Source organism: Homo sapiens, chromosome 14 (assembly GCF_000001405.40).
Source record: "Homo sapiens chromosome 14, GRCh38.p14 Primary Assembly".
Lineage (NCBI taxonomy): Eukaryota > Metazoa > Chordata > Mammalia > Primates > Hominidae > Homo > Homo sapiens.
Genome location: NC_000014.9, coordinates 51,997,227 through 52,024,470, shown reverse-complemented (window position 1 = coordinate 52,024,470; position 27,244 = coordinate 51,997,227). Strand labels below are relative to the sequence as shown.

Here is a 27,244-nt window from a genome sequence, read left to right as displayed (position 1 = left end):
CCACTCGTGGTTATGGGCAGGATTCGGTTCTTTGAGGACCATTGGATTGAAAGCCTTGGTTCCTTGCTGGTTGTTGGCTGCCTTCAGTTTCTTGCCACTTGGGCCTCTCTAACACTACAGCTTACTTTATTAATGCCAGAGAAAGTCTGCTAGCAAGATGGAAGTCATAATCACAAAAATGACATCCCTTCAATGTTGCTTTATTAATTAAAAGCAAGTTACTGAAAGGGTGGGGATTACACAAGACCATGAATACCACTAGGTAGGGACTGTTGGGGGCCATCTTAGAGGCTGCCTACCACAGCCACTTACCATGTAGTTGTCTTCTAAACTTTCAGATTGTGGAGTAGTAGAGAATGAATGGTCATTTTCCTAAAGACCCATGCATAAATCAGGCTAGGCTAATCATGAAAGTAACTTGAAGAATAAATATTGAAATATATGTGTATGTGTGCATATTTAAAGGCATTCCATAGGGTACATGTGTCTCAGTGACCAAAGAACAGAGGCTGTATTTTGTGGGTGCTATGCATTGTTAAAGCACATGCTCTTTTACTCCATCAAACTAACAATAAGGGGGTGTGGGAGTTTTTCTCCAGCCATAGTTTGTTAAAAAAACCGGCTCCCTGGAGAGGCTGCACTTGGATTTGGGTTCTCAGTCTGGTCTGAGTCACTAGCCAGGAGGCTTTTATCCAAGTAGAGTTAAATCCTCTGCAGCTTCCCTCAATCTGGAGTGATTTCAAACTTGTGTTGGTGTGAGCTGGATATTTCTCAGACATGTTTGTCCTTTTGGATTGTTGTGACTTGGCCAGGTGCAAAAGCAGATTGTCTTGAGTTGGGACCTTCCCAGGAGGAGCAAGTGTGAGTGGAGGAAGCTGGGTTACAGATGGCCCATTACCCAGAGCCATCATTACTCAGGGGCCTGAGGGAAGATACTGACATTATTCTTTCTTGGGTTTCCTGGCGTTTTTTCTTTTCTTATTTTTTTTTAATTTTTATTTATTTATTTATTTTTTTAGGCAGGGTCTTACTTTATCACCCAGGCTGGAGGGCAGTGGTGTGATTACAGCTCACTGCAGCCTCAGCCTTCCAGGCTCAAGTGATCCTCACATCTCAGCCCCCCCAAGTAGCATGCCCAGCTAATTTTGGTATCTCTTGTAGAGATGGGGTTTCATCATGTTGCCCAGGCTTGTCTCAAACTCCTGAGCTCAATCGATCTACCCCCCTCAGCCTCCCAAAGTGCTGGGATTACAGGCGTCAGCCACCACACCCGGCCTAGCTTCTCTCTTCTTTGATAACGAAAGCATGATCTCCATTATGTGCCTGGCCAGGTTTCCTGTTCCAAGAATGTAGGTAGATGTTGGGTATGGTATGGTAAAATCAGTGTGGTTATAGGAGGAGGCAAGGATGAAGCTTGAAAGGAAGTAGTTTATTACACTTACAGGTCTGGAGTGGGTTCACCACATGCCATACAGGGGTACAATCAGCAGGGTGCCCAATTGAACAGATTGTGCAGTAGAGAGAGAGTGGGACCTGTGGGTTGAATCCTTTATTGGGATCTGGGATGGGTTTGAGGTTAATTGATGCCAAGAAATTTCACTGGGCTCAAAGGCAAGTGGGCAGTGGTGAAGGGGCGGGAGCCTGGGGGAACTCGAGGCCAGGGGTTAGGTTTATCATCCAACAGTTCCTGCTGGTTTTGCTCAGTACTTGGGCAGTGAGAAGGATGTTGAAGCACGAAAGCATGAACTCGAAGGATTTTTAACACATTTTCCAAACAGGTTCTTTACTAGCTTAATAGAGTGTAGGATTGCACTGAGATTAAGCTACCTCTCATTACCTGAGTGATAAAGGGGCTCTACGACTTCTTGAACGTTTTTGTCTTTATAGCAGTCCCTACAGGCCCCTGCTAGTAATGACTAAGCATAAGCAGTGGCCTCCTTCTCCTTCTCCAATAAAGTTCCTCCCTTGCCAGGGGGCTGAAAGTCTTTCCATGTTTTCTCTCTTGACATCTGATGTCCTGTGCATGCCCAGGTCCCGGGACTCTAGTCTCTATCATGGTGTGAGAGGCCCTCCAAGGAGGAGTCAGGACTGCGAATTCAGGGAGTCTCAATCTTTGGGGCAGGAATTTCTCACTTGTGATATCTTCAGTCTCTTTGGGGACTTTCTCCTCCTTGTTGGTCATTTCTAATAGTTTCTGTCTACCCAGAACTTTAGTATCTTTGATGATGCCAACAGTATCTGTGGGGAGGAAGGCTGGTCTTTCAGATTGAGTCAGAATTCTTAGGCTGAAGGTTCTAAGCACACCGTTGATTTATTTGGTAGCTCTGGGGAATCCCCTCTCTCTTGAGTTCAAAAGTAACAATAAGAAACTGCTCCATGGGCTCCAGAAATAGGCCCTGTGTCTCAGGAATTCCTGCTTCCTGTCATTGCTTGGGGTTCCTGTTACCATTAGAAGTACTTTTAGCATGCGTATTGTGAATAGCTTTAATTTCCTGCATTCGGCTGAATGTTAATTTTTACAGGTTTAGTTTTACAGCCAGTTTTACAGCCTATTCCAGGTCCAAGGTATTGGATGGTCACCAGTTTTGCCCAGCTGGGCATTTGAATTGTCCTGTTGAAGAGGCAGAGCCAAGCTCAGGGATAATTATGACAACATTGGTTGATTTCAGGGTAACTGAGGAGCCAATCTGGTTTGTTTCTACCCTTGCAGATGAATTGATATCTGCTTTCTTGCCTTTATAGGCGAAATGATGGTATCCAGGGAGGCCAACCACTCACCTGGGTGGAGACTCTATGGGTTGCATTGAGTTCAGAATTTTTGGGGGAGGACTCCTAGGAACTGATATATGCTGACTAAACTCCCCAGAGACAGAAGATAAGCAGAATACTTACCTTCTAATTATAACATAAGAGATTCCTCTCTAGGGAACAGAACACCTACGCTTAATGCCCAGTGTGTGTACTTAATGGTATTCGAGAAAGCACATTAGTTATTAGAGGATGACCCAGTGACAGTGTGGTCTGGACAAAGGGTGGTGCAGGTAACTCTAGAAGAGGTTCCATGTGGGTCATGGGAGCCTGGGTGAGGAGCTAGCCCTGTTCCCAACCCATTCACATCAAATTTAGGGCTTCAAATATCTGTCTTCCCATGCTGATGTGTCTCTACCATGGGCTGCACCGTATTGATGCAACACATTCTCATTTTCTAGGTTTCACACTGATCACACCATCCCACATTTTTTTTTTTTCTATTCACACATTTTAAAGAAACTTGGTTATTACTATGGATGGAACTACTGCTTTGTTTTATTTTCAGCCAAGCCTTAATCGGACCTACACCCTTTGTTTATCCTCCTTTTACTCTGAAAGACTTCCTGTCTCTTAAAGTAGCTTATCTCATCCCTTGGGCGTTAGTTTTAACCATTCAATTCTCAGAGCTGCTTTTTTTCTGCTGGGGATGGGAGGGGTGGGTGACTTGCTATTGTCGGCATATGCGGATTTCATTAAATAAAAGGAATGTAAGTTGGCTTTTGTTTGAAGTGTCAGGATTTTGTTGTTTTGAGAAATATGATGGTGAAAATTAATCCTCATGGTGCTATGTGGAGAGTGTAGGGGCCTGAATTGTTTGTACTGATATGCCTGGCAAATTTAGATTTCCATTTTGTAAGTATTATTTCAAAACCCTAGATAATATTTTTTTCTTATTTCTTCTAAAAGTGGAAAGTAAAGAAAATACCTGGTTAATGGGGGTGTGGTTCTAGATAGTAAGATTCTAATTAGTCAAGACAGAATGTGCTTCTTAGCTGAAAAATATTTGGGCCTCATCTGGCTCCTTTGCATCTACAGACGAATGTTACAGGGAGATGGTGCCAACAACGAAAGAAAAAAAAACCATTGTTGGATATATTTGTCTTTATTGCAGCATTGCTGAAAGGAAGTTAATGACTTATAGTCTAAAGGTTAGTTCAAAGGTAATAACTTCCTTGAATTCACTGTCAATGAAACATGCTGTAAGATGTGTTGTTTTTTTCTGTGAGCGACTACCCATTTGATTTCTACACTGAACACGTTTAGTCTAGTGTGTTAACTCACATGTTCCTTGATTTTTTTTCTTCCTTTCTATTAAGCTTACCTTTAGGTGTCAGCATTTTTCTGCTCATGCTCAAAGGTCTTCTGAAGCTGACACCTCACTGGGTGTTGATCCACATATCCAAAGCCCATGCAGTCGCACAGATTGTGTGAGTGAAGTCATAGTGTTCTTTGCTTCTTTCTTCTGTTTCTGACCTCTGCAGATGTAGATGAATGCTCAGAAAACAGATGTCACCCTGCAGCTACCTGCTACAATACTCCTGGTTCCTTCTCCTGCCGTTGTCAACCCGGATATTATGGGGATGGATTTCAGTGCATACCTGGTAAGTTTCAGAGGGCCAGATTAGGCACATGAATCTCTTAGCTCCTTCAAGGATATTTTTCTATGACAGCCCACTCTTGATTTAGCCTGGTCTGGAGCCTTGGTGGATTTTCCAAGCTGTGGATTTTTTTCCTTGGTTACCTCCTGCTGCCTAGTTTACTGATAGTTCACTGATTCGTAACATTTCTGGAGGCCTGCGGGAGACGACCCACCCATCGTCCTACCTCATAGCCCCTCTGGTTAACTGCCCTAGTGATCTGCTTGACCTTGATGAGTGCAATTTGGATGAAGTGTTGAGATCAAGCTTATTAAGCAGAGCCTTATGCGCCGGTAGCCAGGGTTAAGCCCGTGGCGACCGTGTTAGAGGAGCTTGGCTAGCTTGGTGCAGTCTCGTGAGTGGTGAGTGCCGTTGGCTTGCAGCTTCTCAGACTTAACCTGTGGGCCTCAGGGCATGAATGAGCTTTGGCTTGTTTTCTCCAGAGTCTCTTGGGATGTTGGGCAGATGCCACCGCTATCCCTCATTTTCCCCAGATGACAATAGGGAGGGGCCGGGCTGCTTTACACTTAGAGCCAGCTAGGGACCTATAGGATGAACTAGAAGAACTGGAGAGAAATGAGGTAAATAGTGGCAAGGTATTATAAAATAAGAATCTCGGGCTCCAAAATCCCAGCGCTTTTCCATGCCACGCTGTGGGCTGGTGAAGTGGATGGGTTGCAATGCCTTCTATTTCTCTTTTGTGTCTTCCTCTGCCTTGATCCTGGAAGACTCCACCTCAAGCCTGACACCCTGTGAACAACAGCAGCGCCATGCCCAGGCCCAGTATGCCTACCCTGGGGCCCGGTTCCACATCCCCCAATGCGACGAGCAGGGCAACTTCCTGCCCCTACAGTGTCATGGCAGCACTGGTTTCTGCTGGTGCGTGGACCCTGATGGTCATGAAGTTCCTGGTACCCAGACTCCACCTGGCTCCACCCCGCCTCACTGTGGACCATCACCAGGTGAGCTTAGGCCTGGGGCTCAAGAAGCAGAATGGCACTGGTGGTAGGTAGATCATAATTCCTGCCCAGACCACGCAGGCACGGGGCCAGTCACCATCCTTCATAGCCTCTTTCCTCCTGAGAAGACTTGAATAATAGTGCGTACAAATATGCATGTTTGTGTCATAAGGACATAGAGATATGCAATACATGACACATATGATCTGTTACACATTTGCCTCTTAGACCCTTGTCCAGTACAAACTGAAAGTTGAGATTGTGTATGTAGGTCAGACTGAGAACACTACCCTAGACCTGTTATAGAGCAGCTTAGGGAGATCTGACAGTTAGAAGATCTGGCCAGACTGGCGTTTTGACCAGAAGGAAAACTGCTTTCCTATGTAACTATCTCACTTACCTCTGCCTTCTGAATGGCAGGAAACAGTATGAACGCTCTGTTAGTATCAATAGGAAAAATTAGAAAAATAACACCTGCTAGTGGAGCCAGTTAGTTTTCTCTAAACTGACAATCCCAGCCCTCTGTAACCCAGCCCAACATCTCAGAGGAGGCACAGACATCTGGTTTCTGTTAGCCCATACAACCTGAGAACATGCCTGCTACCATCTAGAGCATTCCCCAGCTGGGTGGGGCATGGTGATCAAGTGCTCACAGTCGATTCCAACAGCAGGCAGATAAGGCAACTTTCTGTTCCTTGTTGAATTATTCAGGGATAGGTAAAACTTGTTTCTTTAATCATTACAGAAGAACTTTATTTAATGAAGAGCATAGGATTGGCTTGATACCGTTTTAGCCAAAATGATTCCGACACAGCTTGCTATCCAAAGATCCATTTTTACTATTGAGAAGGGTTCCATAAATACTAGTCTTGGCTTTTAATGTGTGAAAGTAAGAAGAACTGGAGAATTACCAATAGTTTTTTTCCCTTTTAATGGTGTTAACTGTTGCCCGGGTATGGTGGCTCATGCCTGTAATCCCAGCACTTTGGGAGGCCGAGGCGGGTGGATCACGAGGTCAAGAGATTGAGACCATCCTGGCCAACATAGTGAAACCCCGTCTCTACTAAAAATACAAAAATTAGCTGGGCGTGGTGGCACGCACCTGTAGTCCCAGCTCCTCGGGAGGCTGAGGCAGGAGAATCACTTGAACCCAGGAGGCAGAGGTTGCAGTAGGCCAAGATCATGCCACTGCCCTCCAGCCTGGCAACAGAGTGAGACTCTGTTTTTTTTGTTTTTTTAAAAAAAGGTCAGGTCTTGGCGGTTCTCAGATAGGTAAAAATTGGTAATGGTTTGATCCATAGTCGCTCTTTGTTTCTATTTTTAGGAAAAGATTTTAAAGGTCCAAAAAAGGTACAGAGAAATTCTATTTCCCTCATGCCTTCTCTTTGAAAATGTCTTGGTTCTAACTCCATCTGGGATTTGAAGAAATCAAATGGTTGGGAGGTGCCTTTGGGGAATGGTTCAGAATTCGATTAAATTTATTAAGACAGGCATGTGTTAAGGACAATGATTTTAAAGGGGGAACCAAGATTTTAAAGGGGGGGGAACCAAGAGACTGAGAAGTGAATGACGAAAATAGGGTCGTGTTCTCTTGTGCGGACTTTTTCCTGCCCACACTCTCTCGGCGCTGGTTTGGCCCCAACTGCTATCTCTGACTGGTCTCATGTTTGATGGGGTCAGCTTGAGGGAGGGTAAGGACGCTCTGTGCCCACAATTTCAAAATACTTAAACCCTTGCCAACCAGAAGCACAAGAGAAAGAAATTCATGGTTGGGTTGAAAAGTAGCAAATAGTAACGAATGAAAGGGATGCCCATGTATGAGTGATTTGGGACACCCATTTCCCAGGAGTTAGGCATGTCTCTTTGTTTGGAATGCAGACACATAGCACAGGGTGGTCCCTTAAAGCAAAAATGGATCCTTGGAGTTCTGAATGTGGAGCAGGGGTGGAATTGGGAACTTCTCCAGGAAATCCTGCAGTGTTTGAGGAAGTAGCATTTCCCTCTCTGTGTTCCTTGAGACACATTTGGCTGAAGAAGTCAGAGTCTTACCTTCTCCACGGGGTCTTAAAAAGAGCTTTGTCTCCCATGGGTCATGAGCTACAGTGACAACTTAACGGCATTCGCTTCCCCCAATTCTGGTGAGTCGTGCAGTTGAGCTAGAGCTAGTTGGGTTTGAGCTCTGACAACTTCATTCGCAGTCTTTTGTGTTCCAAGAGGAATTGTAGGTGCTGGAACCTGATCATAATGCTCCCAGCTTTGTTCTTTAGAGTCACTGGAGGGTTTTGAACGGAGTGACATGAAATGCCTTTATGTTTAAAATGGGCCATTCTGGCTGCTGCTAATTGAATTTACACTGGTTTTGGAGAGAGTGAGGGCATAGAAGGGTGGAAGCAGGAAAACCAGTGGGAAGGCTGTTGCAGAAATTGCAGGGAGAGGATGAGGCTTTTTGACCAGGGTGAGGGGGTGCAGTAGTGAGAAGTAAAGATATTCTAAGTGGATTCTGAAGTTACCCCTAAAAAGAGTTTTTGACATATCAAATGTGGATGGTGAGAGAAAGGAGGGTCAAGGATAATTAGGTCTGAGCAGTGGAAAAATGGAGGTGCCATTTACTCATATGGGAAAGACCAGGGGAGCAGCTGGTTTGATGGTGAAGGCAGGGGCTCAGTTTCTATTAGTTTCTGATTTCTATTATACATCTAAATGGTGGTAGCAAGTAGGGTTATTGGCTATGTGATTCTGCAGACCATGTGCTTTAAGTTGCAGGAATTAAAAAGGAAGGAGAAGCACCTCCTCTTGTTTAAGTTCCTTTGGGTAGTCCTAACATAAATGAACAAGTTATCTCAATAACCTTCTGCAGCAGAGTCTTCTCAGAACAACCTGTATTTTGGACAAAGCCTCAATGGCACTGTGGAAGCAGCCTGGGAGGAAACTGCTTTGCAACCAAAGCCAGCAGGACTTCAACCATGGAGTGAGCTGTGAGGGAGGGGACAAGAGGAGAGGATGCTGGAGAAAGGGGGGGAAAGGGCAACACGGCAGGAAGCTAGAGCCTGCAGGAAAAGATTCAGCTTTGAGATAATCCCAGGCGCAGGGTGGCTAAAGCAATTCTGGAAACTGGGCTGTGGAAGAACCATTTTTAAGCTGTTTGCCACCACCTCTGCTATGCTTTACTACTAATTCCACTCAGTTTTACCTTTACTCCATGTAGTTTTCCAGTGGGTAGACAGAGGGCACCGTGGCGCTGGGCTTTCAGTAATACTTTCTAAGACACACACTGGCCAGTCGCAAGATGGCCCTCTCCTCAGCAGCTTCGAGCTTGAAGCTTGAAGCAAGTGGGGAATGAATACAAATTGGCTTTAAGCATCACCTCGGCTACTGAGTCCCCAAGGATCACCTGCACAAGTGCTCTGTCAGCAGAGGCGCCCGAGGTACAGGCAGGATGGGCCTTGTGGGCCTCTCCTGGCCAGAAGGAGATCATGCCCCTTCCCAGGCTGAGTGAGCTGCACTGCTGATCTTACCTCCTCTTGTTCTTTCTTGATGTGGCTGGGCCTTGATGACAGACCCTCCTGGCAAGAAAGAAGCATCACATGATCTATTTCTGATTCCCATGGTGGAGAAGTACTTAGAACACATTTGCTTCCCAAGTTTGGTGTCCACGGGCTTGGCTGAGACCTGGACAGTAGGAGAAGGAAGGCCAGGAGGCCAGGCATGGGGTCTTGAGCTACATTTTGCATTCTGTCCTTGACTCACAATCAAAGGTTTTTCTTCTTCCCTCTTCCCCATCTGCTCAGAGCCCACCCAGAGGCCCCCGACCATCTGTGAGCGCTGGAGGGAAAACCTGCTGGAGCACTACGGTGGCACCCCCCGGGATGACCAGTACGTGCCCCAGTGCGATGACCTGGGCCACTTCATCCCCCTGCAGTGCCACGGAAAGAGCGACTTCTGCTGGTGTGTGGACAAAGATGGCAGAGAGGTGCAGGGCACCCGCTCCCAGCCAGGCACCACCCCTGCGTGTAAGCACCTGGCCGCCCCCGCTCCCCTCAGCTGTATCTAAGGCCTTTGCTAGGGATGGTGCCTGCTGTGGTGAAGTGGGGGGACATGTGGGGTCACCAGGTCTAATGAAAGAAGTCACTATGTGCTATGTTGATTTATAATCTGGTCCACACAAGATCCCAATTTGCGTTTGGTGTCTGGTTTTTGTCATTAGCAGCTTCCATAATTGGAACATCTGCAACTCGGTTCAGCAGGCAGTTACTCCCCCTCCCCAGCCCAGGGTGACAGGGGACACGTGTCACTCTGGAGTCCTAAAAGGAAGCTGACACAATGCTGGCTCTGTTTTTTTTTTCTCTTGAAAAAAAAATCTGTTCTGCTTTGTTCTGAGGGAAGTGTTTTGCTGTCTTCTTCCCTAGTAAATGGCAGATTTACATAATTGATCCTTAAAAAAACCCTAGAAATTAGAATTTCTTTTGAAGAACATCTGGAGCACATCTGCGTAGGGCGAAGAACTTTTGATATTTTTGGAGGCTCTGGTATGTGGTAAAGTAACTTTTCTTCCCATCTCCCTGCCTGCCCTTGTTCCCCTTCCTGCTCTCCCACCCTCTCTCCCACAGGTATACCCACCGTCGCTCCACCCATGGTCCGGCCCACGCCCCGGCCAGATGTGACCCCTCCATCTGTGGGCACCTTCCTGCTCTATACTCAGGGCCAGCAGATTGGCTACTTACCCCTCAATGGCACCAGGCTTCAGAAGGATGCAGCTAAGACCCTGCTGTCTCTGCATGTAAAGTGGATTTCTCCTGTAGGGGGCAGGGCTGCGTGGCTTTCCCAGTGGGAGCCACCTCACAGGCCCTGTTGCAGTGAGGTGGACTGGTGCAGGGAAGTCCTGGAGGGTTTCTGAGCTGCAGCCCATCGGCATGGGCCCGATGCCACCACCATAGGACCAGGGCTCTCTCTTGCTGGGAGTCACCTGTCACTGACCAAGGCTGTGCTCTCTGGTTCGTTCATGGAGTTTCAGATAATATGGAAAGGGAACTTTAGAGTTGTCAGCACATGGAGGCTGTATGGTGATCCAAGGGAAAATGGACCGACTCTTACCCTAAGTCCCCAGGGTTGTATGTCATAACATCTCCATGGAAATCCTGGAAATCAAAGTGACAGGACAACTAGTCACAAGGTGTGATCTCTGCGGTTTGTTGGGGACTCCAAGTGGAAGTCAGTTAATGACTGTCTCACCGTTGCAGCCCTTCCCTTTCACTTTGGTTCTGTCCCTTTGACCCACTTCTTTCCTAACCTTCCCTGACTCCATAGATGAAAACTTGAGGAGTGTGTGATGCTGGGAGAGGAGTGGATGGAGCCTTCCCCAGGGGATGTTTGATGCTTCCTGAGCCAGCAGCCTCCCTAATGCAAGGCACCCCATTTTGGGGAGCGGGTTTTCTCAAAAATGGAGGAAAAAAAAGGGTGGCTGTCTCGAATGGCATCGACACAGTGGAAAATCATCTGATTCCATTGTTGAACTTCACACTCCAGGCACTTGCTCATCCCTGAGAAAGAATAGTACGGCATTCAAGTTTACATTTACTTCTGTTAATGAACGACACTTATTTGGTTCCAGAAAAGCTTAGAGGCAGCCAGTGTTTAGGAAGAGATGTGTTCTTTTTAAGATTCGAGTTTGTTGGGTCCTGTCCCCTCCCCCAAGAAAACTCTCACATTGTTTTGTAAAACTTTCTCTGGAAGAGGTAGAGACTAAGAAGTTGACATCACTTTAAGCTAACCCTCTTTTATTCAAGTCATAGAGCTTGATTGCCTTTCTGAACATGCCCCTGACCAGGACAGGGTGGTGATGGTAGTGGTAGTGGAACTGAAAGAAATGGGACGTGGGTTATTTGCACATTTTAAGGAAATTTACTTAAACTGGGACTTTTTCTCTAACCTGAGGTTATGACATGGGTTTATGAATCCCATGATTCCCGGGTTAATGGAAGCTCATTTGAATGTGTACTCTTGCCTGGGACAAACGACTTTTCAATTTTCAAATAAAAGTGTAGTTGACCTTAGGCCCGCCCCCCATATAAGCTGCCTGTTTTTCCACTGAAGCCAAATCCCGTTTTGTACAATCTTTCTTGGCTGACTACGCTCCCAGGGGGCGTAAGTGAAGCCAAGCCCCAGGAGGCTGTTAGGCAAGGCAGGAACTTGTATGACCTCAGGGACAGCCAGCTAACCCCTGAATGTTGGCTTTGCACATCTGCTGGGCTTCTCAGAGCAGGAGCCTGGATTGGAAACTGAATGAAGCAAGTTCTGCATGGAGTTGAGGAAAAATATCAGACTCAGCATTTTTTTTATTTTTATTATTTTTTTAAAAGACTTGTCATTTATTTAGCAATGAGGAGGAGAGACCTCACTAGCCAGAGGTTGGATAACCACTACTCCCTAGTTCCTTAACCCAATAAATTAGATTTTTTCCTTCTTTTGAGACAGGGTGTAGCTCTGTGTTGCCCAGGCTGCAGTGCAGTGGCACCATCTCGGCTTGGTGCAGCCTTGACTTCCTGGGCTCAAGCGATCCTCCCAACTCGGTCTCCTGAGTAGCTGGGACTACAGGTGCGTGCCACCATGCCCAGTTCATTTATTTTTTGTTTTTTAGACGGGGTCTCACTATGTTGCTCAGTCTCGAACTCCTGGGCTCAAGCAATCCTCCTGCTTTGGCCTCCCAACGGACAGGGATTACAGGCGTGAGTCACTGTGCCTGACTACACTTTCTTTAGTACAGGATATAACCAACATCTTGCCTCCTAAGAGTCAGGGGCAGGAGTATAGGTGATTGTACTTCAGGTAGAGGAAAGATCTCATTCACAGAGGAGGGGAGAGTAGATTTTGTTGGCATATAGTGGCAAATTTTATTAAGGCTCTGGGAAAAGTGCTGATGACATTGGGAAAAGATTCAGTTTTTACCCAGTAAAATATTAAAAACTTATTTTGCTTAAGGCCATGTCCTCTAATTACTGAAGGGGCTGATTTTTTTTTTTTTTTAAATCATCAGTCATAATAGCACCTATTGAAGGGCTTACTGTATGCCAATTACTGATTAGGACACTTTACAAGCACTTATAGTATTAATTTTTATAGCAACCATATGAGGCAGGTACACTATTGGCCTCATTTTGCAAATGAGACAAACGCATAGAGGTTAAATGCCCAAAGCCACATGGCTACTAAGTGGCTGAGCCTAGATTTCACCCGAGTGCCCACATGTCCAGCTACTCTGCTCTGTTGCCTGCAGGATCACAGTGCAGTGTTGCTCACTGCAGCTGTGCATGAGCAAGGCAGCTGAGTGTGAACAAAGGGGAAATGTAACCTAATTCTTCTAATTCTATGATTTGATGCACAAAGGGCTCCATAATCGTGGGAATTGATTACGACTGCCGGGAGAGGATGGTGTACTGGACAGATGTTGCTGGACGGACAATCAGCCGTGCTGGTCTGGAACTGGGAGCAGAGCCTGAGACGATCGTGAATTCAGGTCAGCAGCTTCACTCAGCAGTCTGCATTTCATTTGATTCTACAAAGTCACTTGTCTACTTTACGCCGAAGTCTCCCCTCGATTTTTCTCCATTAGGGGAGGTTAAGTTCTAGGCAAGTCATTTTATTGAGCTGTATAAGACTAGCCCCCTCTGTAAGCAAACACCTTCATACATACGGAATGAAATAGGTGATTCCTACTGTGCGCACTTCTTAAAAGAATTCATGGTAAGAATTCAGGGTGACGCCTTCGTTTATTCAGCCTGGCTCTGGCACTGTGGATGCCGGTTGTCATCAAACTGGTAGGTCTGCTGGTCTAGAAGCTAGAGGTAGTGGAATATGTAACAAAAGTACTTGTTTCTCTATTAACCTGGTTCTTGGGGACTTGGAGACACTTGGGCTTTGCTTTCCCCTGCTGACCCCCCTGCCCACCCGACCGTTGGAGGGCTTCAGGTTTGCCCTCCATATCCTGCAAACACTCCAGTCCTGACTTTGCTTTATTTCCAGGTCTGATAAGCCCTGAAGGACTTGCCATAGACCACATCCGCAGAACAATGTACTGGACGGACAGTGTCCTGGATAAGATAGAGAGCGCCCTGCTGGATGGCTCTGAGCGCAAGGTCCTCTTCTACACAGATCTGGTGAATCCCCGTGCCATCGCTGTGGATCCAATCCGAGGGTCAGCTGGGCTTCCCTAATTCTTCTCTTACCTGTAGATCCTGATGTGAAGCCCTTGGGTTTTAAATACAATGTGGGGAAGGTCAGAACAAGAGAGTGAAAGCTCAAATGCATTCATGTAACAAAGATTTACTGAGGATCTAAGAGGTGTCAGGACCTGTTCTAGGAAAAGACAAGGTCTGTTCTTTCATGGCACTTATATTTTATTAGGAGGAAACAAGACTGGTATAAACAATATTAGTCTGTGATGTGATATGTAGAAAATTCAGATAGTGTTGTGAGAACTAGGGCTACTCTGAATCAAATGATCAGGCGAGGCCTCAGCTGACACTTAAACTGGAAGTGAAGTGGGATTCCTCCAGCAGCACATTTAGAAACCAGGGTTGACGCTCACAGTAGGGCTGACCTACATCAAGTGACATTAGCCAAAGCTCAGACACCTCTGGCTTCAGTGTTGCTGTAGCAGAAATCAAGATAAACATTTTCCCTGTCTGTATAATTGCTAAGGTCATCAAATGTGACATACAGGATTTGTTCACTGTCTCAGTACTTGTTACAATCAGGGAGAATTTTTATATCTTGAGAAACTCTTGCCATGTTTAAGTGGAGTTTCTACGAAATGAAATTCCCAGATGCCCTTCAAATCAGTAAAGAAAACCTTCAGCTTTAATTTTCAGGTAAGTGCTTTTTGACTATGAAATACTTAGTGCAGTGCCTCAAAGGTGGTTTCAAACTTTGGGTTCTACACACAGGAAAAGTACCTGTATCCTTCTCTATTCCAGTTGACTTAACAGGAATTAATAGCCCTCTTAAAAACTCTTTGCATAGGCTTGCCTTTCTGACATTTGGACATTTGGAAGGTCCTTTTTTCTTTTTTTTTTCTTTTTTTTGAGACAAGGTCTTGCTTTGTTGCCGAGGCTGGGGTGCAGTGGCACAGTCTCGGCTGACTACAACCTCCATCTCCCGGGTTCAAGCAATTCTCCTGCCTCAGCCTCCCAAGTAGCTGGGACTACAGGCATGTGCCACCATGCCCAGCTAATTTTTGTATTTTTAGTCGAGACAGGGTTTCGCCATTTTGGTCTCCAACTCCTGACCCTGGGTGATCCACCTGCCTTGGCCTCCCAAAGTGCTGGGATTATAGGTATGAGCCACTGCGCCCGGCCCCTTATTCCTTCTTGGTGCTTGACCTGAAAACTGGGGAGAGCTGCCATCTTGTAGGCAATGAAACTTTGGCCATGTCTCTGGAGTCTGGGGAAAAAGCATACTTTTAAGCTGAAATCCACATCACAGCCATGAGTTTAAATATGAAAGTAGAACTTTCTTATCCAGACAGCAAATATAAATGCTAAAGGACTTGAATTTTTAATAAAAAGAAAACCCACCTTGAACCAGGTTGCAATATAACACATGTAATTACATCTCCTTCAACTGCGTAACAGAATGGTTGTCAAGCCTTCCTGCATATTTCTCATTTGCTTTCTATAGATTTCACCTTTACAACTTTCTTCCTCTGGCAATCCCCAAATAATTTACACCAAATATCTGTGTGAGCTTGTTTCAGACTTATTGTTGTTGATGATATTAAATCATTTTGGGGAGGAGACTGATCAGAAGCGATGAAGCAATGATATGCATGCTGTACCCTCTGGCCACCTCCACCTTAGCGCAAAGTGGAAACTGCTTTCTAGCTTTTGCTCTCAGCTTCTCTCTGCTTCATCTGTTGGGCATAAGGGATGAAATTCGCAACAGGGGAAACCTATGGTTTCTTCCTCTCCTCTCACTGAGGTTCTCTGTAGCCCAACTGATTTATTCAAAGCTTCTATAGCTTTTATAAAATAGTATTTTATAAAAAGTGCTTTCAACATTATTTCTGCTCTAACGATAAACCTGTTTGTTTCCTTATAACCTATTTCCACTTAATAGGACCATATTTCCTCGTTAGTATCTGTTATGAATATATTTCATTTTTAACGTGGCATTTAAAAGGTAAAGTGCTTAACTTAAAATGTTTCCATCCCTGGGTGCCAGGTACCCCTTCAAGTACCAAATTGTATTTTTGGCAGAAGAAAGAACAGTTTCCTTCTCAAATCCCTGGTCCACATCTCTTCAAGTTCCATAGTTTGTATCGAAGCCATTCCTAACAGCTGTATTTGTTTCTATTCTAAAACCCAAGATCCAATTCAAGACTTCAACAAACGGAGGGTTTTGGGGCAGTTGAGTCAAGGGGTATCTTGGAGGCAGGGATTCTGATAGTAACTTAGTAATGACTTCTCCCACATAGTGACAATAATCAGAAAACCTTGTGATACAGGTAAAAGTGGAATATGGCTGTGTATTAGTTACCTACTGCTGTGTAAGAAATTGCCCAAACCCTCAGCAGTGTAAGATAACATTTAGTCTCACAGTTTCTGTGAGTCAGGAATCCAAGTGTGTCTTCACCGAGCTCCCTCAGGCATGGAGTCTCTCACAAGGCTGCAATCAGGTAATGGCCAAACTGCAGTGATCACAAGGCTCAGCTCGGGGAAGACACAGCCCAAGCATGCTCACATGGGCTACAGGCAAGACTAATGTCTCTGGCCAACAGCCCTCAAGGACATCAGTTCCTTGGCACATGTTCCCCTTTACAGGGTAGCTTGCAACATGGCATCCAGCTTCCCTCAAAGGGAGCAAGAGAGAGCCCCTAAGGCAGAAACCAGTTTTTTGAGACCGAATATCGGCAGTGATAGCCTATCACTTCTGCTATACTCTATGCACTAGAAGAAGCAAGACACTACTAATGCAGCCCAAACTCAAGGGGATTGCTTAAGGCTATAATACATGAGGAGATGGAGATCACTGGGGGCTGCTTAGATGCTGCCTACCACAGGCTACATGGCTATTCTTTTACAATCTTGATTTTTAACTTACAGCAACTTGTACTGGACAGACTGGAATAGAGAAGCTCCTAAAATTGAAACGTCATCTTTAGATGGAGAAAACAGAAGAATTCTGATCAATACAGACATTGGATTGCCCAATGGCTTAACCTTTGACCCTTTCTCTAAACTGCTCTGCTGGGCAGATGCAGGTAATACTACTGATGGAATGCAAATAGATAACCTCTCATCACAGTGAATGTGAGCACTAACAGATTTTACTACAAAATGAAATCCCATCACTTAGATCTCCTTTCTTTGGTCTGTAAACTTTTAAGTACTAGTAAATTTAAGTACTAGTAAATGAGTCTTAAAATGAACTTTCTGGGGTTTGGGTGGAGGGAAGGATATATCAAGCAGTAAGTTTGTACTGCTTGCCTGACCATGAGTGCCTGGCATATTTTTAACAGTTAAAAGAATTAGCCATTGTTGAATTGACAAACTTAAGTGAAGTTATTCTTATGCGGGGAGAGGGTCACTATAACTTACCTATAAACATCTGTTATAATGCTAAGGACATTCTTTGGAAAGCATTGTAGCAGGGTAGCTTCCTTCAGTAATAACATGGGTATTAGCAACCTACATTTGTTTGCTTTTATCAGCACAACTGAAAAAATGCTGTGTGTCTAGTTCTATACTAAAGAATATGAAAAAGACTGTTCTTGAATTTGTAATCTAATAAAAGGGCCTAATGTACATAGGTCACTTTTATAACCCAGTTGTTTAAAACAAGTTACATTTCTTAAAAGGATTTGAAATTTAAATCGGCTCCATGAGAAATGTGAAACTTGGAAATTCTTGAATGGTTTAGCTATTGTAAAAATTTTTAAGACTGATTCCTTTACATTGAAATATGAGTTATGTTACCATTTTAGTCACTTTTTTCCTCCTACCTAGAAAATATTTTAAAAATACTAAGGATTTTGGTTAAAAGGTTGCCTCAGTAATTATAGACATAGCTTACAAAGGGCAAGTATTTACCCAGATGTTATAATTTATAAGCTAAGGCTTGAAATCACACAAATTATAAAAATAATTATGTTTAATGCCCTACTTTGGCAGAAACTTACCAGATTTCAGTAAATGCAATCCTGTCTTCCAAAAAAGGATTGAAAGTTTGAATCTCTACTAAAAACTGGAGACTAGTAATAGGACAGGTAATTTTACAGTTGCTAATCTATGACTGTAATGGAAGTAAAATATCCTATTTCCCCATTCTATCACTGTGTCACTATCACTATGTCACTATCATTTTTGGCAAAGCAGCTGAAGGACCTCATTTTCCCCCTTTGTTTTAAAAGGAACCAAAAAACTGGAGTGTACACTACCTGATGGAACTGGACGGCGTGTCATTCAAAACAACCTCAAGTACCCCTTCAGCATCGTAAGCTATGCAGATCACTTCTACCACACAGACTGGAGGAGGTGAGCCCCACAAATTCTGGACAAGCCTGAAAAGGCCAACTGTTCCAGAGGACACACCACTTGTTTTACCAAAAGTCAGTACCTGACTTGACTCATTAAGCCCTCTGAGGCTTTTGTTTCATCACCTCCTCATTGGCAGATAAGATCCTTCAAGGATGTTTTTCATCCTTTCATGTTTTTGAAATCATCCTTTTACTTCACCCAGAAATCGAATGGTATTGCTCACATATAGCTTAAAAAGTAGCAAAGCTATTGGATAATGTCTCAAAAGGGAGCATATTAATCTAAATATGTTCTTTAGAGAATAAGACTACCCTTGATACCATGAGCTATATTACAGGGCTTAAGTTGGCTTTTGACACTGTGGACATATTGTCTGAGGGACCGAAAAATACTATTTAGACTAGTTCTCAAATGAGGAACTGTGGAACATTAAAGTCTAAGCCCTTTACACCATGCCCTACAACTCTGATTTGATAGCTCATCATGTGATTCTAACATGCAGCTAGAGATGAGCAATGGATTTAGAGCAATGGTCTTCAAACTTCAGTATGGCTTTAGCACCAGCCCTGGGACAGAGAAGGCTGCCAGAAATTTTCCTCTATTGCAACTGATTTTCTGTGGCTGACTGACTTCTTTATCTAGTAAATGACTGTCCCTGAATTCACTCTTCCTTTCTGTTACCAGGGATGGTGTTGTATCAGTAAATAAACATAGTGGCCAGTTTACTGATGAGTATCTCCCAGAACAACGATCTCACCTCTACGGGATAACTGCAGTCTACCCCTACTGCCCAACAGGTAAAAAGTATGCTTTAGGATGCTCCTTTAAATTAGCAGGGTAGAGAAGGGATATATATGGTATTTGATTACCCCTGCTGCCTGTGACACTGCCACCATTGCCTTCTTCCTGCCCTGAGGGCCAGTCTTTACTACCTTAAATCTACCTAGTTTATACACAAAATGCAAAGACTTGCTGTTGCAACTTGGTTACAATATACTCACCCACCACCCTGTCCCACCCCTGCTCTTCTCTCACAGGAAGAAAGTAAGTACAGTAATGTAAAGGAAGACTTGGAGTTTACAATCAGAACCTGGACCCTAAAGAACAGTGACTGCAAAGGCAAAGAAAGTAAAAAAGGAATTGGCCATTAGACGTTCCTGAGCATCCAAGATGAACATTTTGTAGTGCAAAAAGACTTTTGTGAAAAGCTGATACCTCAATCTTTACTACTGTATTTTTAAAAATGAAGGTTGTTATTGCAAGTTTAAAAAGGTAACAGAATTTTAACTGTTGCTTATTAAAGCAACTTCTTGTAAACATTTATCATTAATATTTAAAAGATCAAATTCATTCAACTAAGAATTAGAGTTTAAGACTCTAAACCTGATTTTTGCCATGGATTCCTTCTGGCCAAGAAATTAAAGCACATGTGATCAATATAACAATATAATCCTAAACCTTGACAGTTGGAGAAGCCAATGCAGAACTGATGGGAAAGGACCAATTATTTATAGTTTCCCAACAAAAGTTCTAAGATTTTTTACCTCTGCATCAGTGCATTTCTATTTATATCAAAAGGTGCTAAAATGATTCAATTTGCATTTTCTGATCCTGTAGTGCCTCTATAGAAGTACCCACAGAAAGTAAAGTATCACATTTATAAATACCAAAGATGTAACAATTTTAAAATTTTCTAGATTACTCCAATAAAGTGTTTTAAGTTTTCCTATGACTTAAGGATCTATATTGTCTCTAGGACAAAGCTGGGGGTTGGCATATATGCCTTAACCACAAAGGAGAAAGGTGATTTATGCAAACATACAGTACATAATAAAAATTCTACTTTCCTAAACTTTATTAAAGAAAAAAGCAATAAGCAATGGTGGTAAATCTCTAGAACATACCCAATTTTCTGGGCTTCCTCCCCCGAGAATGTGACATTTTGATTTCCAAACATGCCAGAAGTGTATGGTTCCCAACTGTACTAAGTAGGTGAGAAGCTGAAGTCCTCAAGTGTTCATCTTCCAACTTTTCCCAGTCTGTGGTCTGTCTTTGGATCAGCAATAATTGCCTGAACAGCTACTATGGCTTCGTTGATTTTTGTCTGTAGCTCTCTGAGCTCCTCTATGTGCAGCAATCGCAGAATTTGAGCAGCTTCATTAAGAACTGCATCTGTTTTATGAGAAAAGAACACTGCTTCAATACATAATTTTTACATTTAAGGCCATTTATTTCCTCCCAAGTATTCAGTCTGTAAAAAAAATAGTTTGAATTTAAACAAAATCACTTACCTCCTGTGTCAAAACCAAGAATATGTTTGTCTAAAGCAACAGGTAAGCCCTTTAAAAAAAGAAAGACAAAATGAGAGTATTTATGGTTAAGAATAGCATCCTTTCCTCAACTGAAACTGAAAAGCACCTAGCTATTCTGGTGTCTTAACTCTTTTAGCTGCATGGGCAAGGGAACTAGGAATTTTGTTTATATTTGCTTTGTGATGATTGTGATTAGCGAGTTTTCCCTATTTCAACCGGTTAGGGGGAAAAGTTAACCTTTAAATGTACCAGGAAGCTCTATAGCTCATCCAATCCTTTAGCCCAGGCATACAAAACAATATATCCTTATTGCAGCAGTGCCTTGTCATTACTGCTATGGAAGGCAAGTTGAGCCAGGCTGTTACTGTCTTATTTTGGCGACAGTAAGCAACAGTATAAACGGCAAAAATAGTACCTTATATTCCATTTCTGAGCACATTAATTTGTCTTTACAAATTGTACGAACCTTTCAGCCAGCATGGTGTTTGCCAAGATTATGTATAATTATGTATAATTTAACTTTCAAGACTTGACTTGGAAGTTACTTTGAAACAAACAGTCTAGGAAAATGAAAAACTAAACCACTCAGCACCTATGGACATACTAAAGATGGTGACTATGGTGATGCCAAACTTCACAGAAACAAATTCTAAAATGAGGACAGTCTGTACTTCCTGCTGATTATATAAAATCACTGCCAAGAAAAACACACTACCCGTACTTTCAATCTTTCAATGTTACAACCTGTTACTATTCAAATGCTTTAGTCACTGCTCAATTCTTGCCTTATCTAGTAATGTAAATCTACGTAGGCTCTGTCTGCTTTAAAACAGCTAACACATGTAAGTCTGAAGAAACCAATGGGTACGAAAGCACAAGTGAGCAAAATTAAAGAGCAGAATTGTACTGAGTGGCTTTATATGTTCATCTAGTACCAGAGGCTCCACTTTTTTTTCCTTTGCCAACAGGCCACCAAGCTACCCCTGAAAACTACCATATGCCTCAAATAGTAGTTATAAATGCTTATAAGTACACTAGACTGTAAGAACTCCACTAAATTGTTATAGGCTGGTATCTTTTGAGATGACACCAAAATTAAAATTGGGAGCATTAAAAATAAAACTAAATTTTACTTTACAAACAAGAGCAAAGAGATTTGGCTAAGCCTTTACTTACACTGCCTTCCAAAGCATAGTTTTGCTGAAGGAATGAATGAATGAATGATTGACTTTATTACACCAGAACAATTTACTGTCTGTTCTATAGGGAGGGTGAAATAAGCTGATCTTTAACCCAACTTCCAGTGGCTCGATTCATATACAACGAGCCAGTAAGAACCTTTAAAAGAAAACAGTGTCTTTCAGAGATACTGCCCTGGCATTAGTAACCTTTTAACACTGCTTGGCCTGCCTAAAGGGGCTGGAGGACAAAAGGCATTGGGAGATGGGGGAAGGGCGCAGGGAGGACAAACAACATAGTTGTGCCCAAGGCATTCACTACAACATCATTGCTGCAGGAGGCAGGTGTTATCAGACACTGCTGCTGCTGACCTGAGGACAGTCTCTCCACCGCTGCACAGCCAGTGAAACTTTAGGCATCTTTGGATTTCTGATATAATCTAAAAATGTTCCATATTTTCTCTTTAAGGGGAAGGTAGTCATGGGATATAGCTTTTCTCAGCCTACAAGGTAGGACTGAAAGATACCATTTCAGTCACCTGTACCTTGAACCTTACACTCCAACAGAACCCCCTGTCCCTTCACCTGGGCAGACTGACAAGCTCATGCAGACATCCACGCATGGACCCTTCTCCCCACCTACCGTAAGAGCACAGGCTCTCAAGTCAGACTGCCTGAGCTCAGTCACTTACCAACTAGGTGACCTTAGCCAAATTACTTTCTCATGTTTTATGCCAGGAAATTGAATAAAACAAGAATTTACTCTGAAGAAATAAGAGCAAGGATAGAATTTAGATAGAAAAAGAAAACTAATTTGTAGTGAGGTGTGTTCCTTCTTCTCCAGCATGAGTCAAAATAATCCAGTAAGTTTCATATGGGTAACTCATTTTAAATAAACTTCAACGGGCCACAAGCATGATTTGTGGACTGTGCATGAGCTATTTGTGGCTTTTTTAAGGTACAAAGTGAGAGGAACATGAAGTTTTTCACTCAAAAATGACCCCCTAGCCACTGAATACATTCAATTTGCTTTAGGAAGCACTGAAGTAAGCTATCCTTTCTCTAAGTTGTAGAACGTAGAATGGATATCTTAAACAGATACATGCAAAGTTTAAAATCACGGCCATACCAGAAGAAATGTTCATTAACAACTTATTTAGGATTTATAGAAACGTACCTCTTTTGTTTGATTTGCCTTAGCAACTGCATCCTGTGTCAGGCGCTCCTGAACCAAAATCCGAATTGCCTAAGAAACCCAAAAATATTTTTACTTTTTATAGGCTGTGTACCTGTCATCCTTTCTTCTATGAGCCCAGAGAATAAGGATGCTCATTTTGATGAAGTCAGAATTACCTAAGTTCATTAATAAACTCCCCATTAAATTAAAAATAAAAAAAACCCACTAATATAACGTAACCTTTCACACTTCTAGTATTTTAATAATGTTGAATGGTGCTTGCAACAATTAAAACCATTTTTTGAATAGGTAATGCACGTGACTGGTAAAAAACAACTTTAAATACAGCAAGACACATGGTAAAAAGTAGGTCTCCTTCCTACCTGAGCCTTGCGATCCCCTACAGATTCCTTACCCTCACTAAAACTGCGAAATGACGAGCATGCTTAGCACGAATACACATTTTTGACACAAAGGGTAGCAGATCATACATACTGTCTTACACTTTGCTTTTATCACTTCACTCTAGTAAAATATTTTCAAACCTTTCAAAGGACACCGTTGGTGGTTTTAATCACCAAGGCATTTCATTATGGTAGGCATGCATGCAAGTATCCATACACACTTAAAAATCAAATTTTAAAAAAATGGAATTTTAATTAGGAAGATGACAATTACAACTCAAAAATAAGTGTGAAAACTTAAACTATAATTTTTAAATAAAAAACCAAATGCTATCTTTGAAAAACCGAATTCAAACAATGTTTAACAGTTATTGCAGATGTTATTAAATAGTCTGGTTGCCAAACAGTTAATATACTGATGCTTGTACTTGGCAAACGTACTAAGATGTTTTCCATATTATGTTATTGTTTGAATGCCTCTTAAAATAACTCAAAAGGGACAAATGTGCAGCAGGACTAGAATTTTATAGCATTTTGTTGTAGTTGATTTATACTTTATCCCCTTGGGTTTTGAAGTCTAACAAAAGCATCCCAAATACGCTATGCATTGTCTGACTCTCCTCTCACTTACTTTATGATTAAAGCTGACATGATCACTATAGAACAGTTCCAAGGCAATTTACATAATTGTCGGAATAAAGAACAAGCCTTTGAAATAGCTAAATTTCACTAAAAACATTTTTGTCTTTTGGCATGCAATCTGGATTGAGAAAATCCAAGTTAACATTCAGATTCAGTATAGAAAATTTTAATAACTTAGGAATACAACAGTCTTGTTAAAACTGACATTTAATAATAAAAATCTAAAAAGCATGGTAAGTTATGGCTTAATCTCTTCTGGGTAGAGTGATATTTATCACAAAGTAGTTTACATGCACAAGGTCTAGTTAAAAGCTTTTAATCTCTTATAAAATTTCCAAGTCTGGTATCTTAAGTACCACTCCCCTGATCCACACCACTGTACTTTCACGATTACTAGGAATAAATCTTCTGAAGTTTATGATTTCTCTCAGAAACAAGAGACCTCTTTCAGATTACTGGGATTCCTGAAGTATAGTTATGAACTGAGTGGCCTATCTAGCATCGGGGACAGAAAGATTCATTTCTCAAAGAGATTTTGGGGTTATATATTTTTGACCAAATTCACCATTACTCATTTGGCATTTTCGACCATCTTAACAAATGCAGACTATGAATCATTAAAAAGACTAACTAAACAGAAGTAGGGTAATGTGGGAAAAACAATGGACCACAGGGTTATAGTGCTTAAAATCCTGGCTCTGTCATTTTCTGTGTCATCTTAGACATTATCCTCATTGAGTCTCAGTTTCTTCATATGATATATATTTTTAAAAAGATATTAGCAGCTGTCTCTAGGATTGTTGGCAGGATTGAATGAGAACATCTTTGCAAAGGATTTAGCATAGTGCAGGCAGAAAACAGAATCCAAATCAGATAAAACCATGAAATCTACTTTATGTTTCATATTCTTCTGTGTATTTTAGTCATTCAACCATAATTTTAATATCAATAGTTAATATTTAGAAAATAAAGACATTTTTCTATGTGCACAGTTTCTGTCAAGAATCAAGAACATGAAGCTGACCTTAAGCATTACCAGGTAATCATCATGACGCTGAATCTGAAGCAGGTTAGCCAAAGCCATCACACCAGCCTTAAAATCAGGATTATTTACTATAAAAGATTAAAAACAAACAAAAACTTACAACCCTGCAAACGTATAATTACAAACATATTTGTGAACATACAAAAACATTTTTAACTTTTCGGTAGCAACAAATCTCTTAGTTTTTAAAACTGCTACTCACAAGAGAAAAAAGAAAGCCCTGTAGACTATCAACAATTAAATAAATTGGTAAGATAAAATGGTTTTCCTATTACTGTATGAGACGGTCCCCAACTTAGGATGGTTAGACTTGTAATTTTTTGACCTTACAATGAGTTCAGTGGGATGTAACCCTAGTGCAAGATGAGGAAAATCTGAACTTACAGTGGTTCCAACTACAATTTTTCAGCTTTACAATGGGTCTTCCGGGGTATTAAATGCATTTTTGACTTATGATATTTTCGACTTTGGGACATGATCTCATCCTAAGTCAAGGAGTATCTGTATTTCATCAGCCAAACTGAATAATCCAATAAATGACTAATTTAACTCACATTATATTTGTCCTGTAACTTTTTCTGCAAGGCTAAATTATACAGCACTTTTAATTAACATTTCTTCCCAAGGCCATTAATTTTAGTACATAGATCCCCTCCATGGATAGTTTTCCCAAAACCTTCTCTCTAAGCAGCAGCTCTGGAGTGTCCAAGAGGCTCACTCATTCAAAAGGGTTAACTCCTAAATTATAGGTCACAATGAATTAGCCAGTGAACAAATATTTTACACATCATAATTTAGGTAATTAGATTCTTCATATTTTTAAAAAGGGAAATTACTAAAAGATATCCAGGACTTAAAATAATGGAAAATTTTACCACTTGTCTGATAGAGTCATTGGATTAAAAGAAATTTACACATTCAAAAAGGCAAACAATGACCCCCATGATTAAATACAAATCAAAACTCCAAATTACTAGAAGCAAATCAAATCAACATTCAGATATTCAAATGCAAGGGGAAGGAGAAAGCACATCATAAAAACATTATAGAGAATAAAATGTTAACATAAATGCTGTCTGCATGGATCCTTCTAAATTTACTAAAACCAAGTAAACCTGGACTTCATTCTTCAAAGAAAAAAACATTTAAAAAACCAAAAATGTTGATGTTCAATGTTATGCATTTATATACTCACCATCCAAATTGATCAATGGTTCTGCATTTTTAGTTGCATTGTCAGCAGTTTTTGAATTATCAGGTACTAAATCCTTGTATTTTTCAGCTATAAAAACAGGCAAAAATATAATTTGTACAACTGCAACTCAAGGTAAAATGACTACTGCTATTTACCAAATTTAACTGAGCCAAAATGATTACAGGTTGAGTTTCCCTTACTGGAAATGCCAATAATTTCCAATTTTAAATTTTTTCAGACTTCGGATTATCTGCATATATAAAATGGGATATTTTGGGGATGGGACTGAAGTCTAAACACAAAATTCATTTTTATGTTCAATGTACAACTTATACACATAGCCTGAAGGTAATTTCATATAATATTTTTAATAATTTTGTGCATGAAATAAAGTTTGTGTTAAGTGCTTATGTGTGGAAATTTCTACTTGTGTCCTCATGTCAGTGCTCAAAAAGTTTTGGATTTTGGAGCATTTAGGATTTCAGATTCTCGGATTAGGGATGCTTAACCTGTATAAGCATAAAACAATTCATTCAATCAAGCTTAATTTTTGCTATAGAAAATGTAAAAAGACAATGTAACTATCTTTTTGATTAAGCTAAAGCAATTACTGGACTATGTGACACAAATATCTTTTCATTAACATTTCTAAAGGCAATCATTTCAAACATGTAAATTTTAGGAAGGTAAAAATCTGCTTTTACAGCTTCCTCTGAAATCTGGGGTAGAAGAATGGGAGGAGGGTTAAGTATAGGTTACGTAAGATTAAATACAAACTCATTAAAAAGTACGCTTCCCCCCATCTTCTTTTGAATGCTGTACATAAAATCCAAAAACCTTGCTTTCCCCAAAAAAATCAATACATCAAATACACCATCATATACAAACCTCAAACTTATTTCATGGAAACTTGAAATTCAGAATTCCAAAGGTAGATTTTATTATTTTCATTTGAAAAACAATACTTCAAAGGAATTCAAAAATAAAAACACTTATTAATAATTCACTAAACTTAATGTTCAAAATGGCATCTTAGGCTATACAGTGCTTATGGGATCTGTTAATGAAACGAGGAAAAAATAAAAGCATAAAATTTAAGTCAGAGTTAAAAAGGCTTCCACTGGCCAAATCTGGAACAGTATCAACAGCAAAATACGTGATGACAGAAAGGATTATAATCCATTGAATAAAATAAAAATCCATGTATCTATACTGATTTAAACAAGTAAATTAGAGATGGGAAAACTTACAAGAGAAAGCCAACAAATAAATGTAGAAAAAATGATGAAATTAGAGAACACCTTTTGTCGATTAACATAATAAATGACTGAGGCAAGAATCATCATATGGTTGC

The 27,244-nt window shown here is 41.4% G+C and overlaps 2 protein-coding genes across 5 annotated transcripts in view, besides 2 other annotated features; one reads left to right on the top strand and one right to left on the bottom strand.

Annotated features, from left to right (window-relative positions):
• The window catches only part of NID2 (nidogen 2), a 64,251-nt gene extending 44,589 nt beyond the window's left edge, over positions 1-19,662 (top strand). For all 4 annotated transcript variants that reach the window (XM_005267407.5, NM_007361.4, XM_005267406.5 and 1 more), the window contains 10 exons: positions 4,293-4,412; positions 5,177-5,410; positions 9,196-9,417; positions 10,015-10,184; positions 12,788-12,917; positions 13,424-13,595; positions 16,504-16,661; positions 17,811-17,934; positions 18,622-18,734; positions 18,975-19,662. In XM_005267407.5, coding sequence (XP_005267464.1) covers positions 4,293-4,412; positions 5,177-5,410; positions 9,196-9,417; positions 10,015-10,184; positions 12,788-12,917; positions 13,424-13,595; positions 16,504-16,661; positions 17,811-17,934; positions 18,622-18,734; positions 18,975-18,985 — 1,454 coding nt within the window. In that variant the 3' untranslated portion in view covers positions 18,986-19,662. The remainder of the gene's footprint in view (positions 1-4,292; positions 4,413-5,176; positions 5,411-9,195; positions 9,418-10,014; positions 10,185-12,787; positions 12,918-13,423; positions 13,596-16,503; positions 16,662-17,810; positions 17,935-18,621; positions 18,735-18,974) is intronic.
• Positions 3,266-3,560: an enhancer, noted in NCBI's record as "tiled region #12958; K562 Activating DNase matched - State 8:EnhW". NCBI's record gives its function as "activates a minimal TATA promoter and a strong SV40 promoter by Sharpr-MPRA in K562 cells {active_cell/tissue: K562}" and the evidence as "EXISTENCE:reporter gene assay evidence [ECO:0000049][PMID:27701403]".
• Positions 9,755-10,707: an enhancer, noted in NCBI's record as "H3K4me1 hESC enhancer chr14:52480482-52481434 (GRCh37/hg19 assembly coordinates)". NCBI's record gives its function as "activates a minimal SCP1, AML or CMV promoter by ChIP-STARR-seq in naive H9 embryonic stem cells {active_cell/tissue: H9 hESC(naive)}" and the evidence as "EXISTENCE:reporter gene assay evidence [ECO:0000049][PMID:30033119]".
• The window catches only part of RTRAF (RNA transcription, translation and transport factor), a 21,149-nt gene continuing 7,681 nt past the window's right edge, over positions 13,777-27,244 (bottom strand). Inside the window, exons 4-8 of the mRNA NM_016039.3 lie at positions 25,891-25,977; positions 24,675-24,763; positions 22,605-22,673; positions 20,229-20,277; positions 13,777-20,109 (exon numbers count right to left, since the gene is read on the bottom strand). Of these exons, the coding sequence (NP_057123.1) occupies positions 19,955-20,109; positions 20,229-20,277; positions 22,605-22,673; positions 24,675-24,763; positions 25,891-25,977 (449 nt within the window). The 3' untranslated portion in view covers positions 13,777-19,954. The remainder of the gene's footprint in view (positions 20,110-20,228; positions 20,278-22,604; positions 22,674-24,674; positions 24,764-25,890; positions 25,978-27,244) is intronic.